The sequence below is a fragment of the Homo sapiens genome, chromosome 13 (genome assembly GCF_000001405.40).
Source record: "Homo sapiens chromosome 13, GRCh38.p14 Primary Assembly".
Taxonomy (NCBI): Eukaryota; Metazoa; Chordata; class Mammalia; order Primates; family Hominidae; genus Homo; species Homo sapiens.
In genome coordinates, this window is record NC_000013.11 from 23532788 (window position 1) to 23550458 (window position 17671).

Consider the following 17671-nt stretch of genomic DNA (forward strand, 5'->3'; position numbering starts at 1 on the left):
ACTCACCACGAGGGTCCGCGGCTTCATTCTTGAAGTCAGTGAGACCAAGAACCCACCAATTCCGGACACAATAGGAAGCAAGATCCCTCTTGGTGGTTGTATATTGCCTGGTCTACACGTGCTGCGTGGAACTGGGCTGTCCACCTGTGACTGTGCTGAGCCAAGCCAACATATTAAGCTGCACAAGAAAGACAGCATTTGAATGTTTGAATTCACCATGAAACTGCCCTATTTCTATATTTTGTGCAAGGTTCACGTTTTCCCCATTGTTTAAGCCATTTTTGGTTGGATATTTTATTATTTGTACCCAAAATTGTCTTAGCTAACAGACACTCAACTGTCTATATGCTCTTTAGCTCCAATAGTGCTCTAATTGTTTCATCTCTACCAAGTTGAAAATTTATTTGAGCAGAGAAAATAATCACCATATTTTTCTGGTTATAATTCGTTTTTCATAATTTAATGCTTCTAAAATGATCTATCTTTCAATGTATGTATTTAATATGAAAATATTTCTTTTTCCTGAAAATATATTATTGAATTTATAGCACAGATTACAACAATTATGTCTTAAACTCTGAGAAATGGGATAGTAGATTTCAGCTTTACCCCCAAGAAAAAGGAGAGTATAGAAAATGCCTAAGGAACTTGGTAGAGGGCAGGGTGCAGTGGCTTCTGCCTGTAATCCCAGCAATTTGGGAGGCCAAGGAGGGCGGATCATGAGGTCAAGAGATTGAGATCAGCCTGGCCAAGACGGTGAAACCCCATCTCTACTAAAAATACAAAAATTAGCTGGGCGTGGTGGTGCGTGCCTGTAATCCCAGCCCTACTCGGTAGGCTGAGGCAGGAGAATCGCTTCAGCCTGGGAGGCGGAGGTTGGCAGTGAGCCGAGATTGTGAGACTCAGTCGAAAAAGAAAGAAAGAAAGAAGGGAGGGAGGGAGGGAAGAATCACAGACCAAATTAATTAACATTGATGTAAAAACTCTAAAGATTAGCAAATCCAACATTGCAACGTTTTATTTCTCCATAATGTTAAAGAGCCTTTTTTCTTTACACCAGCTTTACCATTTTATTACATGTATCTTATATTGCCACGAAGTTTGTTTACATACAATAAAGTGCATGCATTCTAAGTATACAATTCAGTGGGTTTTGGCAAATGTAACCAACCATGGTTACATTCAGTCTCAATATAGAACATTTCCATCACCCTCCAAAAATTCCCTGTGCTATCTCTATATTTATGTTATGCAAGGCTCACATTTGCCTCATTATTGAAATCATTGTTGGTTGGGTTTTGTATTATTTGTACCCCAAATTGTCTTAACTAACATATACTCACCTGTTAATCCCACATGGTCAGCCCCTGGCAACCACAGGTCTGCTTTCTGTTACTACAGATCAGTTTTGCCTGTTCTAGACGTATATGTAAATGGACTCATACAACATGAACTCTGAATGCTCCCTGCATTCAGCACAGTGCATTCCAGTCCTTTATGTTGTCATGTGTATTGATTTTTTTTTTCCGTTTCGTTGCTGCATAGGATTTCATTGTATCAATATGCCACTATTGATGTATCCATCCTCCGGCTGAGAGGCATTGGGTTTGTTTCCGGTTGGGTTCTAAGCAGATGCTTAGAGGGAGTTTGGGATGCAGTGTGCTTGCTGGGGACCAACACCTGTGAAAAGAAGGGAGAGGAAGCAGGCTTGGGAAGACGGAGAAGGTAAACAGTGATGTGGTCTGACCAAACCTTGGCCAGTGCTTCAGAAAGCCCAAGAGCGGGTGTGACCATCAAAACTGTCCAGAGGCGGCACAAATGGCTTTTTCTTCATAGTCCCACCTCGCTCAGTGACAAGACATGGGTCATTCCACAAAGGGCATGGGGCATCCCCTAACGCAGCTGACACCTGGAATTGACCAAACTCCCAGAGCTGGATAGCAAGTCTCTGTTTGAAAGTGGACCTCAGTGGCTCATCTCTCACCAACCATTGGTTTGTTTCCAGTTTTTGTTTTTTGCTATTGTCAATAAAACTGCCAAATAAGCATTCACATATAAGTCTCCTTGTAGGCATACTTACGTTTGTATTTCTCTTGGGCAAAAACCTAGGAATGGCATTGCTGGGATATATGGTAAGTGTAGATTTAACTTTATAAAAAACTGTAAACCATGTTCCAAAGCTGTAGCACAATTTTCCATCAGCACCAGGATATCTGAGTGTCCCATTGCTCCATATCATTGCTAACTCTTGGTGTCATCAGACTTCAATTTCACCCACTCTGCTGGGGACACAGTGATAGTTCATTGTGGTTGTAATTTGTATTTCTCTGGTGGCATGGTGGGGGTGAGCTGTTTTTCATGTGCTCATTGACCATTGATATATCTTCCTTTGTGAAATAGCTGTCCAAATTTTTTGCCCAGTTAAAAAATTGAGTTATTTGTCTTTTTATAATTGAGTTGCAAGAGTTATTTGTATATATCTTCTGGGGAAAAGTTTATTGTCAGATATATATCACATATAATAAAGCATGAATATTTTCTTCCAGTCTGGCTTGCCTTTTTGGTCTTTTAAGTCTTTTGAAATAACAAAAGTTTTAAATATTGTTATCAGTATTTTATCTTATGCTTAATGTTTTGATGTCCTAACAAATTTTTGCTATCCTGAAGTTGCAAAACCATTCTCCTGTGTTTTCTTCTAGAAGCTGGTTTTGTTGTTGTTTTAGAGACAGTGTCTCACTCTGTTGCCCAGGCTGGAGTGTGGTGGCAAGATCACAGCTCACTGCACCCTTAACTCCTGGGCTCAAGCTATCCTCCTACCTCAGCCTCCAAAGTAGCTAAGACAATGGGCACATGCCACCACATCCAGCTAATATTTTTTTAGAGATGGAGTATTCCTATGTTGCCCAGACTGGTCTTGAATTTCTGGCCTCAAGCAATCTTCCTGCCTTGGCCTCTCAACATGTTGGGATTACAGGTGTGAGCCACAATGCCCAGCATTCTAGAATTTTTATAATCATAAATCTGTGTTAAAGTCTGATATATCTTTTGAGTTTATTTTGTGAGGGAAAGGCTAAGGTTCATTTTTTAAAATTCAGAAATCTAGTTTCATCACCATTTGTTGGAAAGAGAGTCTTTTCCTCACGGAATTGTCGTGGCACCTTTGTTGAAAATCAATTCACCATATATGTGTGAATCTATTTCTGGACTCTATATTGTATACCATTGATTTATGTCTGCTTTTATATCAATTTCACACTGCCTTAATTACTTTTTAGTAAATCTTGAAATCAGGTAGGGTAAGTTCTCCAATTTCGTCTTTCATTTTCAAAAGTGTTTTGACTATTTCAGGTCATTTTCATTTCAGTATAATTTTACAGCCAGTTTTCAATTTCTATCCCCAAAAGAGCTTGCTGATTTCAATTAACTTTACATTAAATCTGTAGATCAATTTCGGAAAAATACTCTTTTTAAAAAATATTGAGTAATTCAGTTCACAGACACAATATTTCTGTCCATTACTTGCTTAGATATTCTTTAATATCTCTTGACAGTTTTGTTGTTTTCAGTGTACAGATCTTTTAATGTTTTGGTAAATTTATCCCTAGATCCTTCATGGTTTTGATGCCATTGTAAATAATGTTGTTTAAAGATGGTTTTATTATTTCTTTTTCAATTTATATCATTTTCTTCCTGTCTCCTCATCCTCTTCCATCTCCTCTTCCTTCTCATTCTCTTTTCTTCCTTTCTTTTTGGCAATGTGGATCTCGAGTGGTAAGAGCATATATTTTTACTTTGTTCCTAGTCTTAGGGAAAAAGTGCTCAGTCTTTCTCCATTAAGTGTGATGTTAGCTTTAAGTTTTTCACAGAAGTTCTTTATCAGGTTGAGGAAATTCCTTTCTATTCCTACTTTGCTTAGATTATTTATTATCTGTGGATGGCAAATTTTGTCAAATACTTTTCCTTGTATGTATTCAGATTATCCAGTTGGCAATGTTTATTCTATTAATACAGTGACATATCTTGATTGACTTTTAAATATAATGTTTTATCCTTGCATTCCCAGGATAAAACCACTTGTACCTGATGTACTACCCTTTTTATAGATTGCTGGATGTGTTTGGCTAAATTTCTGAGAAGGATTTCTTTGCCACTAGGTTCACAACATATGTTGGTGAATAGTTTTCTTTGCTCATCTTCTGGATTTGGTATCTGGGTAATACTTTAATCATAAAATGAGTTGAGAAGTGTTCACTCCTTCTCTATTTTCTGTAAGATCAATGGGAAAATTTGTGTGGAATGTACCAGTCCAAAACTATGTGAGTCTAGAATTGTCTTTATCAAGGGAGATTAAATCACAGTGTAAAATATTTAATAGGCTGGGTGCAGTGGCTCACGCCTGTAATCCCAGCACTTTGGGGGAGGCTAAGGCGGGTGGATCACGAGGTCAGGAGATCGAGACCATCCTGGCTAACACGGTGAAACCCCATCTCTACTAAAAATACAAAAAGAAAATTAGCCGGGCATTGTGGCGGGCGCCCATAGTCCCAGCTACTCGGGAGGCTGAAGCAGGAGAATGGCACGAACCTGGGAGGCGGAGCTTGCAGTGAGCCGAGATCGCGCCACTGTACTCCAGCCTGGGTGACAGAGTGAGACTCCTCTCAAAAAAAAAAAAAAAAAAAATTAATAAATATAAGGCTAGGCCAGGTGCGGTGGCTCACACCTATAATCCCAGCATTTTGGGAGGTCGAGGCGGGTGGATCACAAGGTCAGGAGATCGAGACTATCCTGGCTAACACAGTGAAACCCCGTCTCCACTAAAAAATACAAAAAATTAGCCAGGCGTGGTGGTGGGTGCCGGTAGTCCCAGCTACTTGGGAGGCTGAGGCAGGAGAATGGCATGAACCCGGCAGGCAGAGGTTACAGTGAGCCAAGATAGCGCCACTGCACTCCAGCCTGGGCTACAGAGCGAGACTCCGTCTCAAAAACAAAAAAAAAATTTAATAAATATAAGGCTAGGCCAGATGCGGTAGCTCACACCTGTAATCCGAGCACTTTGGGAGGCCGAGGTGGGTGGATCACAAGGTCAGGAGATCAAGACCATCCTGGGTAACACAGTGAAACCCTGTCTCTACTAAAATTTAAAATTAAAAAAAAAAAAAGATAGCCGGGTGTGGTGGCGGGCACCTGTAGGCCCAGCTACTCGGGAGGCTGAGGCAGGAGAATGGCATGAACCTGGGACACGGAGCTTGCAGTGAGCCAAGATTGCACCATGCGCACTCCAGCCTGGGTGACAGAGCGAGACTCCATCTCAAAATAAATGAATAAAATAAAATAAAATAAAATAAAAATATGTAAGGCTATTGAAATTTTCTATTTTGTTTGAGTTTTGTTAATTTATGTCATTCAAGTAAGCCTTCTATTTAACATACATTTTTAAATTTATTGACATTAAATTGTTCATAATTTTCCCCTTATTTTTCTTTTAATATCTCTATGAATTATAGTGGTGACCCACTTTCATTTCTAATAATGATAATTTGGGTCTTTTTTTTTCCACCATTCTAGCTGAAGGTTTGTAGATTGTGTTGATATTTAAAGAAAACAGCTTTTGCTGGCAGTAATTTTTCTATTGTTTGCTTAATTTTCTAGGGTATTAATATCTGCTCTAATTTGTCTTCTTTCCTTCCTTCTACTTTGGGTTTCATTTTTTCTACTTTTTCTAGATTTTAAAAGTATAAGCTTATATCATTAATTCTAGATTTTTCTTTTCTAGTGCAAGCATTTTGAGCTATATATTTACCTCTAAATACAACTTAAGCTGCACCTTATATATTTTTACATATTTTGTTTTCATTATCAATCAGTTCAAAGTAATTTCTAATTTCCATTGTGACTTCTTCTTTATATAATACCATAGGTTATTTAGAAGTATATGTTTAATTTTCAAATATTTAGGGATTTTTCAGTAATCTTGCTACTAATTTCCAATTTAATTACATTTTGACCAGAGAAAATATTTCATAGTATTTTCAGTCTTTTAAATTTGAGGTTTGTTTTATGGCCCAGCACATAGTCTTTTTTGGTGAATAGTTCATGCTCACCTAAAAAGAATGAGCACTCTGCAGATGCTCAGTATAGCATTTTATACATTTTAGGTTGAGTTGGTTGATCATGCTGTTCAATACCACTGATATTCTGTGTATTTGTTTTATAAATTACTGAGGGAGGAGTGTTGAAGTCTCCAACTGAAAATGCAGATCTCTTCATTTCTCTTATTTCATCGGTGTTTGCTTCATATGTTTTCAAACGTGATTACGTGCATGCATATTTACAATTGCTAGGTCTTTTGATGAATTGACTATTTAATCATTATGAAATGTCCCTATTCATTTAGGCTGATAGTTCTTGTCATAAAGGCTGCTTTGATACTAATATAGCCACCTTGGCTTTCTTTCTTTTGATCACTGTCTATTCCTGATATTTTTATTATTTTACCTTTTAAATTGTAATGTATCTGTGGTTTTGCACTTACGGCGAATTTCTTGTAGACAATATGTAGTTGGATCTTGCATTTTTATCCAGTTTTAAGTTCTTCTGCTTCTTTTTTTTTTTTTTTTTTTTTTTTTTTGAGACAAAGTCTCACTCTGTTGCCCAGGCTGGAGTGCAGTGGCATAATCTTGGCTCACTGCAAGCTCTGCCTCCCAGATTCAGGTGATTCTTCTGACTCAGCCTCCAGAGTAGCTGGGACTACAGGTATGTGCCACCACACCTGGCTAATTTTTGTATTTTTAGTAGAGACGGGATTTCACCATATTGGCCAGGCTGGTCTCAAACTCCTGACCTCGTGATCAGCGTGCCTTGGCCTCCCAAAGTGCTGGGATTACAGGCGTGAGCTATTGCACCAGGCCTAAGTTCTATCTTAATTCAATTGTTTGGATCATTTATGTTTACAATATAAGTCCATATATTGGGGTTTAAGTCTAGCATCTTGTTATTTATTTTATAGTTATCTTATGTGTTTTTGGCTCCTTTATTTCTGCTCCTTTATTCCTTTCTTTTGGATTAATTTTTTATATATTCTATCTTTATTATTTACTTATTAGCTATTCATTTTTATTAGAATTAACTGCTCTACATTTTATAATAAACATCTTTATAATGGCCAGGTGCAATGGCTCATGCCTATAATCCCAGCACTTTGGGAGACTGAGGAGGGCAGATCACTTGAGGTCACAAGTTCGAGACCAGCCTGGCCAACATGGTGAAACCCCATCTCTACAAAAAATACAAAAATTGACGGGTGTGGTGGTGCACGCCTGTAGTTCCACCTACTAGGAAGGCTGAGGCAGGAGAATTTCTCATTGAACCCAGGAGGTGGACGGTGCAGTAGGCTGAGATCACACCATTGCACTCCAGCCTGGGCGACAGAAAGAGACTCTGTCTGAAAAAAAAAAAAACTTTATCATGCCTTATCTTCAAATTTTTTTGTGTATATAATGTAAGAACTTTTATTTTTTATTTCAGTAGGTTTTTGGGGAACAGGTGGTGTTTGGCTACATGGATAAGTTCTTTAGTGGTTGTTTCTTTTTTTTTTTTTCTTGAGATGGAGTCTTGCTCTGTCACCCAGGCTGGAGTGCAGCGGCGCTATCTTGAATCACTGCAACTTCCACCTCCCAGGTTCAAGTGATTCCCCTGCCTCAGCCTCCCGAGTAGCTGGGATTACAGGCGCCTGCCATCACATCCAGCTAATTTTTTTGTATTTAAGTAGAGATGGAGTTTCACCATGTTGGCCAGGCTGGTCTTGAGCTCCTAACCTCAAGTGATCTGCCCACCTCGGCCTCCCAAAGTGCTGGGATTACAGGTATGAACCACTGTAAGCCCCACACCCAGCCCAGAAAGAGATATTTAATAGGGACTTATGAACAGAAGCAATGTCTTGGGTAGCTGTGAGACTATGGATTCCCCACACCTGCCCTCCAGAAATATTCTTTATCAGCAAGCTTTTAGGGTAAACCATGTGCAACTGGTCACGTCTTCAGACTTTCTTAACAAGACCTGTTACTATTGTACAGGTTAGATAAACATCTTTATGAGGGGTTATTTATGCTACATACATTGTTTGAAGAACTTAGTGCAGAACACCTTGGTACACAGAGGTCAAAGAGCAATCATCAAGGTGGTTTCACTTCAAGATGGCATCACTCTTGCCACAGAACAGGCTGTTTTCCTATAGATTTGTTAAATCACTTTATATTTTCCCACGTCACTAAAGCGCTATTCATTTCACTCAATCTTTCTTCTATCTGTGCTTCAATTTGGATATCTAGTGCTACATCATCAATCACTGTTTTTTTTTTCTTCTGCAGTGTTTAATCTGCTGTTAATCTCACCCAGTGAATTTTTTTTCAAATGTTACATTTTTCAACTCCACAAGTCCTTTCTACGATCTATGTTATGTTTCCCTCCTTATTACATACATGTTTTCCTTTAAATCCTTGAACGTATTTAGAACAGCAGGTTTCAATTCCTTCAGGTATAAACCCAGGATGAGAGCAGGTCTCACAATGTTTCCTTCCCTTCTCTCAGGGACTACAGTCTTGTGTAAACAGTTGGTTAATACATTTTGTTTATTTTTCTAGTTGTTCATAGCAGGAGAGCAAGCCTGGTAATAATGACTACAACATGCCTGGAAGAGGAAATTGCTTGTAAGCTTTTAACACACTATCTAACTATGTAAATTTCTTCCTCCTTCCTCTTTAATTTTTAGCTGCCTTTACTAGAATGTAAGTTCTAAAAGGTCAGGGACTTCAGTCTGTTTTACTTCTGCTGTATCTTCGTTACCCATAATGTACCATAAATATTTGTTGAATTATCGAATGAATGATTTACTTGACTATCATTTACTCTAAAGCACTTTAATCAAGAAAGAGTGATACTATATTTGTTCCAGTAAATGGCAGCTTTGATATACATAGTTTCCATAATCATGAACCCAACTAGTATTGCATAAGTCAGCATGTGAGATGTTATTAATTGTCATAACGCATGTCAAAAACAGGCTACCAGTGAAATTTAAAATACTCAGGATATGAAGATTGGCTAAGATATCTTAGACATATTCTCCATCCTTATAGTGCACAGGGCATAAAAATTCAATGATCCTATAGTCTGAACCTTTAGTGATGATGCTATGAGACTTAATCTTTAAATAGTCTCTTCTCCAGCCATTGGTCTAGGTAAATATCTGTTTGCCTGACACCAACTATGGAATGTTGTCAAGCTTTTTATGCAAAGTGGTAGGCAGAGCACCCAAATGTACAGAGCTCTAGAATGTCACCTAGATTAAACAACAGGGTGTATGAATAAATTTATGCCTTTTTTTTTTTTTTTTTGAGACGGAGTTTTGCTCTTGTTGCCCAAGCTGGAGTGCAATGGCACAATCTTGGCTCACTGCAACCTCTGCCTACTGGGTCCAAGCGATTCTCCTGCCTCAGGCTCCAGAATGGCTGGGATTACAGGTGTGCACCATCATGCCCAGCTAATTTTGTATTTTTAGTAGAGATGGGGTTTCACCAAGTTGGTCAGGCTGGTCTTGAACTCCTGATCTCAGGTGATCCACCCACCTCGGTCTCCCAAAGTGCTGGGATTACAGGCGTAAGCCCATAATTACAGGCTGCGCCTGACTGATTTATGCCTATTTTTAAATCAACATTTGTTTAGTAAATGTTGGTATGTTGGCAGAATTCGGTCTGAGACCTGCTTTCATTCTACCTAGTAGGGACATTATGGGATAGTAACTAACTTTTTCCCATCTCAAACTTTCTAGAGTTTACTGCTTTCAGCGAAACACTAGATAAATGTTACTCATGGCCAAGTTACTTGGAGCAGTTTATAATTTACCAACTTGGGTTTATCACAAGAAAGTTAACTTAGAAAAAATGCAGTACTGTGATTTGTCACATTAACAGATAAAAGGAAAATAATTTTCTGATCATCTTGACCTATCATAGTTTTGAAATATAATTTCAAACAAATTTATTGTTTGTAAAAAATTTAGTCAACTAAAATTAGAAGGAATCTTGCTTAACTTGAAAAGTATTGTACCAAAAAGTAACAGTAAATAAAGCTACGGAATAAAATAAAAACCCAGGAACTGTTTGTTTTGTTTTAAATTATAATATATGTGATACTATAGAAGTAGCATTACAATCAATGAGAAAAGCATGAACTGTTTAACAAATTGTGCTCCTTTTATTACCTAGAGGGAATTTTACTTTTGTTTTTTCTGCAGTGATCTACAAGTTCTAGCAACCTTTAATAAAAAGTCGGAACTACTTTAATAAAAGTCAAAAAGCCTAACTATCTCATCTCTTACTAGTAATATTTCACATATAATCCTACTGCATATAAATAGTTATATTGCATATACTGGAACAGTTGCCTGTCCTCAGGGAGAAAAAATAGATCTATTTCATTCCATCCATAAAGATAAATTCCAAATGCATTGAAAAATCTGACTGTGAAAACTAAAAGGTTGAAAACAAGGAGAAAATATTGGAGAATATCTTTTCACCTTGGAATAGGAAAATATTCCTTAAACAAGGCAGAGAAAGCAAACATTTTATTGATTCACCAAAAGATCATAAATTTTATTGCATTTAAACCTCATGTGTATTATTTAACTTCAGTACAAAAAGAAAGAGGTCTGAGACAAAAGGTTATTGCTACATATATAACCAGCTATGAATTAACATTCAAAGTTTACATATAACATTTGGCAAATCAATAAGTAAAAGACATAACAAGGGGAAAATTGGCAAAGTATATGAATGGGTAGTTCACAGAAGAAGAAATGTTAAGTGGCTAATAAGCATTGGAAAACACACTCAGCCTCACTAGTAGTAAAAGAAATGTAGCTAAAGGCCAGGCGCGGTGACTCACGCCTGTAATCCCAGCACTTTGGAAGGCCGAGGCGGGTGGATCACGAGGTCAGGAGATCGAGACCATCCTGGCTAACATGGTGAAACCCCATCTCTATTAAAAATACAAAAAATTAGCCAGGCGTGGTGGCACGTGCCTGTAGTCCCAGCTACTCAGAAGGCTGAAACAAGAGAATTGCTTGGACCCAGAAGGCAGAGGTTGCAGTGAGAAGAGATTGCACCACTGCACCCCAGCCTGGGTGACAAAGCGAGACTCTGTCTCAAAAAAAACAAAAACAAAAACAAAAACAAAAACAAAACTGCAGCTAAAAATAATGAAATATTATTTCATTATTTATGATGAAATAATTTGGCCAAAGTTTATTAATGGCCAATTTGGCCAAAGTTTATTAATGGCCAATAAACTTTGGCCACTAGTGGCCACAGTTTAAAATAGTGGCCAAAGTGTAAAAATAAGTACTGGTTAGGAGCTGAGGAGAAATGAGAACTCCCAGAGCACTGAGAACTGGAGCCACTACTTTGGAAAACAATTCTGCAATGATCAATAGATCTCTGAATTCTGTCTTTAGGTTTCCTAGTAAAACTTTCAAATACGGGCACTTAGAGTGATATATAAAGATAGTTAACGGAGGCCCATTGCCCATTTTGTAATTGTGAAAAGCTGGAAACAAACCTAAATGCCTGTCACCAGTAAAACGAAGCAACATGAAGATCCCTGTACACAGATGTCTGTCTCTTTTGTCCTCTCCTGAACCTTGAACAATGTTTGACTCATAGTAGGTGCTCAATAAGTACTTGTTAAATGAATGAATAAATGAATTCTATACCATGTTACACAGCAGGTAAGAATCTACATGCATCAACATCAATGAATTTCAAAGAAAAATGGCCTGCAATAAAACTTTCTGGAGTGTGAATGCAAACATGTAAATTATATAAGTGCACAAAACAATGTGATATATTGTTGGTGCATGTATAGGTACTATACACATCTTTAAAATATATGCAGAATTTACCCTCTCTCCACACAGCCATATCACCCACCTGGGTCAAATCGCAGCATCTCTGCCCTGGATTATTGCTGCGCTCCTAACTGGTCTTCCTGTTTCTGCCATGCCCTTCCTGGAGTCTATTCTCAGCACAGTAGCTGGAATGATCCTGTTAAAACATCTGCCCAGCTCAGTCTTACCTCTTGAACCTCGGCCTCCCCTTGTGCCTTCTGAAGCTACACCAATCTCTTCACTGTTCCTACGAGGCACTCATCTTTCACCATCACTGCCTCCTCAGCCAAGGACCAGTCCCCAGTAATCTGTAAGCTCTTCTCCTCCACCTCTTGGATTCTTCCCTGAATGTCCTCTTTCCACTGAGTTGTTCCCTGGCAAGTTTATCCAAAACTCAGCAGCTTCCCCCAGCCACCACACCCTCCCTTGTGCCCTTTCCTGCACATCTTATCATCTAACAAACCACATATTTTACTTAATATTTTGCTCATTGTCTGTCCCCACACCCTTCCAAATGTCACCTCCTTGAAGACAGGGGCTTTTGTCTGTTTTATTCATTGCTAAATTCCCAGCAACCAGCCTAATACCTGGCCCAGAGAAGGCTCAGAAAGAAACAGAAAGAAAAGGCACAATGGTCAGGATGTAGACCTGCTTCAGGACACTCATCGCCTCTAGGGATTGGGAAAGCTGGTGGGATGGCACATATATGTTGCACTGTTTTATATTTTAATCAAGAAAAACAACTGAAGCAAATGTGGCTTCATTTAACAAATGCTAGCATTAAACAAATCTCAGTAACATATTGTCTATGATTTTTCATACCCTTGCTTTAAATTGATTAATAATATCCATATAATAAAGTAGATAAAGTACACTAAGGTGCACAATGTGATGACTTTTGAATGTACAGTCATCCCTTGGTATCTTAGGGTGGACTGGTTCCAGAACGCCCCCAACGATACTAAAATCCACAGATGCTCAGTCCCTTATATGAAATGATATAGTATTTGCATATAACCAATGCACACATCCTCTTGTATACTTTAAATCGTCTTTAGATTACTTATACCTCATATAGTGTAAATGCTATGTAAGTAGTTTTTATACCATATTGTTTTATTTGTATTATATTTTATTGTTGGTATTATTATTTTAAATTTTTTCCAAATATTTTTGATCTGGAGTTGGTTGAATCCGTGGATGCAGAACCCGTGGATAAGGAGGGCCGAGGATACGTATACATTATGTGACCACCACCTAAATTAATGCTGAGAATATACTCAGCATCCTGTACTCCCCCAGTTTCTTGTACTTCTTCCCAGTTTACACCACTCTTGCCTACAGATAATCACAATTCCGACTTCAATTATCAGTTAATTTTGCCAATTTTTGGAATTTATATAGTCATATAATATATGCTTACGTGTCCAGCTTCTTTCACTCAACAAAATATCTTGGAGGTTCATCCCTGTTGTCAGCACTAATAGTTTTTTTTCTTTTTTTTTTTTTTTTTGGAGATGGAGTCTCCCTCTGTCGCCCAGGCTATAGTGCAGTGGCGTGATCTCGGCTCACTGCAAGCTCCGTCTCCCGGGTTCACGCCATTCTCCTGCCTCAGCCTCCCAAGTGGCTGGGACTACAGGCACCCGCCACCACGCCTGGCTAATTTTTTGTATTTTTAGTAGAGACGGGGTTTCACCGTGCCAGCCAGGATGGTCTCGATCTCCTGACCTCGTGGTCCGCCCACCTCGGCCTCTCAAAGTGCTGGGATTACATTTTAGCCATTCTGGTGGGCATAGCGCGGCATCTCGTTTTGGTTTTAATTTGTACTTTCCTTATGGATAACAATGCAGGACACTTGCATTTGCTTGTTGAACATTTGGATATTCTCTTCTGTGGAGTGTTTAATTTCAAAATTAGGTTTTCTTATTATTTGCAGGAATTCTTCATCTATTCTGGAGAAGTTTGTGTCAAGTGTATGCACTGTGACTATCTCCTCCTAGTCTTTGGTTTGCTTTTCACTTTTTAATGGTGTTTTTGGTAAATAGAAATGTAATGTTTTGATGAGGTCCACCTGCATGCTTTTGGATATTTGAAATATTTTGTAATTAAATATTTTAATCGGAAAAAATAGAAAAGGGAAGGCCTTTCTCTTTCACTCTTAGACAGAACATATGGTTCAAAGGATCATTCCTTCCTCCCTCCTCTCTCCCCTCCATATTATTGTACTAACGTGTATCTAACTCCAGGATCCACACGGAAGGTAATTTTCAAGTGGGTGGGCCCGCTCTCCAGCTCTTCCTGCCCCAGCTCCCTGGCCTCCCTTGCTGTCCAGGGTACGAGGCTAGCGGCGCGCCGCGGTCCCCGCTCCCTTGGGGGACAGCGAGCAAGGCGTATGGAAAGGAGGAGGAGAAAGAGGGGGAAGGGGAAGAGCAAGGGAGGGGAAGGGGGTTCGCGGCTGCCTGGCGCTCAGCAAGTGCAGGAACGGAGGCACCGCAGGGCAGGCGGCCAGGGGCTCGGAGGCTCTGCCTCTTTGAGTTCCAGAAAAGTCAACCGGGACAGGGCGGTGGAGAGACGCGCAGTCTTCGCGGGGCGGGCTCGGGCACACTGGCCCTCCAGGATCCGCAACATTTTCCAACTTGGAAAACGTCCTCTTTTCCCATTGCAGAAAAAATACGCTAGGAGAGAAAACTAGATTCCTAACTTCAAAACGTTTTAGAACAGAGTGTGTCTCTTAAAACTCATATGGCGGATGACGCCAAAACAGTCTGTCTTTTGTTTCCAGCAGTTTCCAGTTGGAAAATTCCTTTGGGAATTTCTTTGCATCTCAGGCACAAACTTCAACAACAGCCTCAAGTAGCACTGTCTGCATTGCCGGATTCTGATTTCTCTGACCTCTAACAGAAGTTTTCTATTTTACTTTCGAAGGTAACTGAAAGGGGTTGATTTAATCTACAAAGCTCTATTCTCCTGATGAAAATTTCTTAAGAGATCTCCGGTTTCCCTTGCGTTTATTTCATGGGAATTAAGATGCTGTGTTTTGATACGGCTTGTGATGCAAAGAGCTGCGCTCCAGGGAGTAGGAAATTTGGTCTTGATGAAGATAGAACAATTCTGAATAATATCCAGGTTTTTTTTTTAATTTTTAGATTTTTAAAAATTTTTGTGGGTACATAGTAGGTGTATATATTTATGGGGTACATGAGGGGATGTTTTGATACAGGCACAATGCATAATAATCACATCATGGAGAATGGGGTGTCCATCCCCTCAAGCATTTATCTTTGTGTTACAAACAATCCAGTTGCACTCTTTTCGTTATTTTTAAATGTATAATTAAGTACATTTGACTATAGTCAATAATAACCCGTTGTGCTATCAAATAGGAGTTCTTATTCATTCTTTCTATTTTTTGTACCCTATCCAATATGTCTGTTTTGAATGGAAAACAGCTAGATAAGCTAGTGAAATTTTCACATGAAATTGAGAAACATCATTAAAAACAAATAGATTTGTAGAGTAAAGTCAAAGAAATTATAAAGGAGAAAAATAAAAGTAACACACTATAAAATAAGACATATCTTAGAAAAAAGAACTGAAGAATGACAAAATCAAGGGGACCAAGTCTGATACATAAGTCGTTCTTACTAAAAATTAGTCATTTATTTATTCAGCCAGTTTTCACTGGCCATCTGTTGTGCCACGCCGGGTTGAGATGCTGAGCATAGCTACCAATTTGTATAAGGGATTGATCTGTCCCTAAGGGTGCCCTAAGGTCAGGGCTGGCCCTGAGACAAATTATGAAATTATACAATATGGCCGGGTGCAGTGACTCACGCCTGTAATCCCAGCACTTTGGGAGGCCGAGGCGGGTGGATCACAAGGTCAGGAGATCAAGACCATCCTGGCTAACACAGTGAAAACCCGTCTCTACTAAAAAATACAAAAAATTAGCTGGGCGTGATGGTGGGCACCTGTAGTCCCAGCTACTCAGGAGGCTGAGGCAGGAGAATCTGCTTGAACCTGGGAGGCAGAGGTTGCAGTGAGCTGAGATCGCGCCACTACACTCCAGCCTGTGCAACAGAGCAAGACTCTCCGTCTCAAAAAAAAAAAAAAAGAAAGAAAAGAAAGAAAAGGAAAAGAAAAAGAAATATACACTATGTATCTTCAGCTTTCCTACTCCTCTTTTTGCAACTTTCTCCCAGCCCTTTTCCCCTTTCTATGGTTTATTTTCTAATTCTAGTCATCAAAATTAAAAACTTATCTTAGGAATTATATGTACGGTTAGAGTAGTTATGTTTTGATCCAAATTTAGGTCAATGTGTCCTCCCTGTATTTGTCAGCTTGAGGTGCCATAACACAATACCAGAAAGTAGGTGGCTTAGACAACAGAAATTTATTTCTCACAGTTCTGGAGGCTAGGAAGTCTGAGATCAAGATGCCACAGGTTTGGTTCCTGGTGAGGGTCTCTACCTGGCTTGAGGCAGCTGCCATATTGGTTTGTGCTCACATGACATCTTTGGAGTCTCACCAGGAGAGAGAGTGAGCCAATTCTCTAGTGCCTTTTACTTGTAAGAGCACAAATCCCATAATGAGGACCCACCTTCATGACCACATCTAAACCTAATTACTTCTCAAAGGTCCCATCATCAGATACACTCAGCTAGGGGTTTTAATGTGCCCCTCAGTGTTCATGTGTTGGAAATGTAATTCTTATTGCAACAGTGTTGAAAAGTGGGACCTTCAAGAGGTGATTACGTCTTGAGGTCTCTGCCCCCATGAATGGATTAATGTCATTATCACTGGAGTGGGTTTGTTATTGAGAGAGAGTGGATTTCCTATAAAAGTGAGCTTGTCTGTCTCATGTGCACCCATGTTCTCATGCCCATCTGCCTTCCACCATGGGATGATATAGCAAGAAGTTCTTCACAAGAAGCAGGCCCCTTGATCTTGATCTTGGACTTCCCAGCCTCCAGAACCATGAGCCAAATAAATTTTTGTTAATTATAAATTACCCAGTCTCAGGTATTCTGTTATAGCAGCAAAAATAGGTTTTTTTTTTTTTTCATCACATTGGGGCTTAGGGCTTTGGCATTTGGATTTAGGGGAATGAAAATGTTCAGAGTAACACTCTCCCAATGCTATTTATATTTTAAAACTTATCTGTTTCAATTGAGATATGTGGCTGGCTCCAGTAAAGCAAATCAGAAGAGGGTGAAGACAAATTCATCATCCAAAGATGATAACAGAGGGCCCTTTCTGTTAACCCATAGGTATCCTATGTTTTATTATTGATAGGAACACATTTTATTATTGCTGTCCCACATTTTATTATTGACAGGAACTTGAAGGGCTACTTATTTAACTGTAAGTTTGAAATAACTTTAGTTATAGTCAAAAAGAAAGTCTTGAGTTGGCTCGGATCTTCCAGAGTTTACATCACGGAACACTAAAAAAAATGTTCTCTCTGGAATCTGCTTCTCCAGAGACTCCAGTTGGAATGCTCAGAGCAATATTTGCTAACAGAAATAAGTTGATATAGTTGAGAGGATCCAGAACAAGGCACCAAAATGATCAAAGGAATGACTTGTGCATTAAGATCAAAAGACCTGGCAGTGCAGGTCAAGAATTGGTGGAGAGGGGATACCTGGTACTTGATAAGAGTCTACAAATATTTAAAAGGTGTTAACAGGGAGGAAGGCAAGCCCAATTTTGCCTGCTTGGAGGTGACAT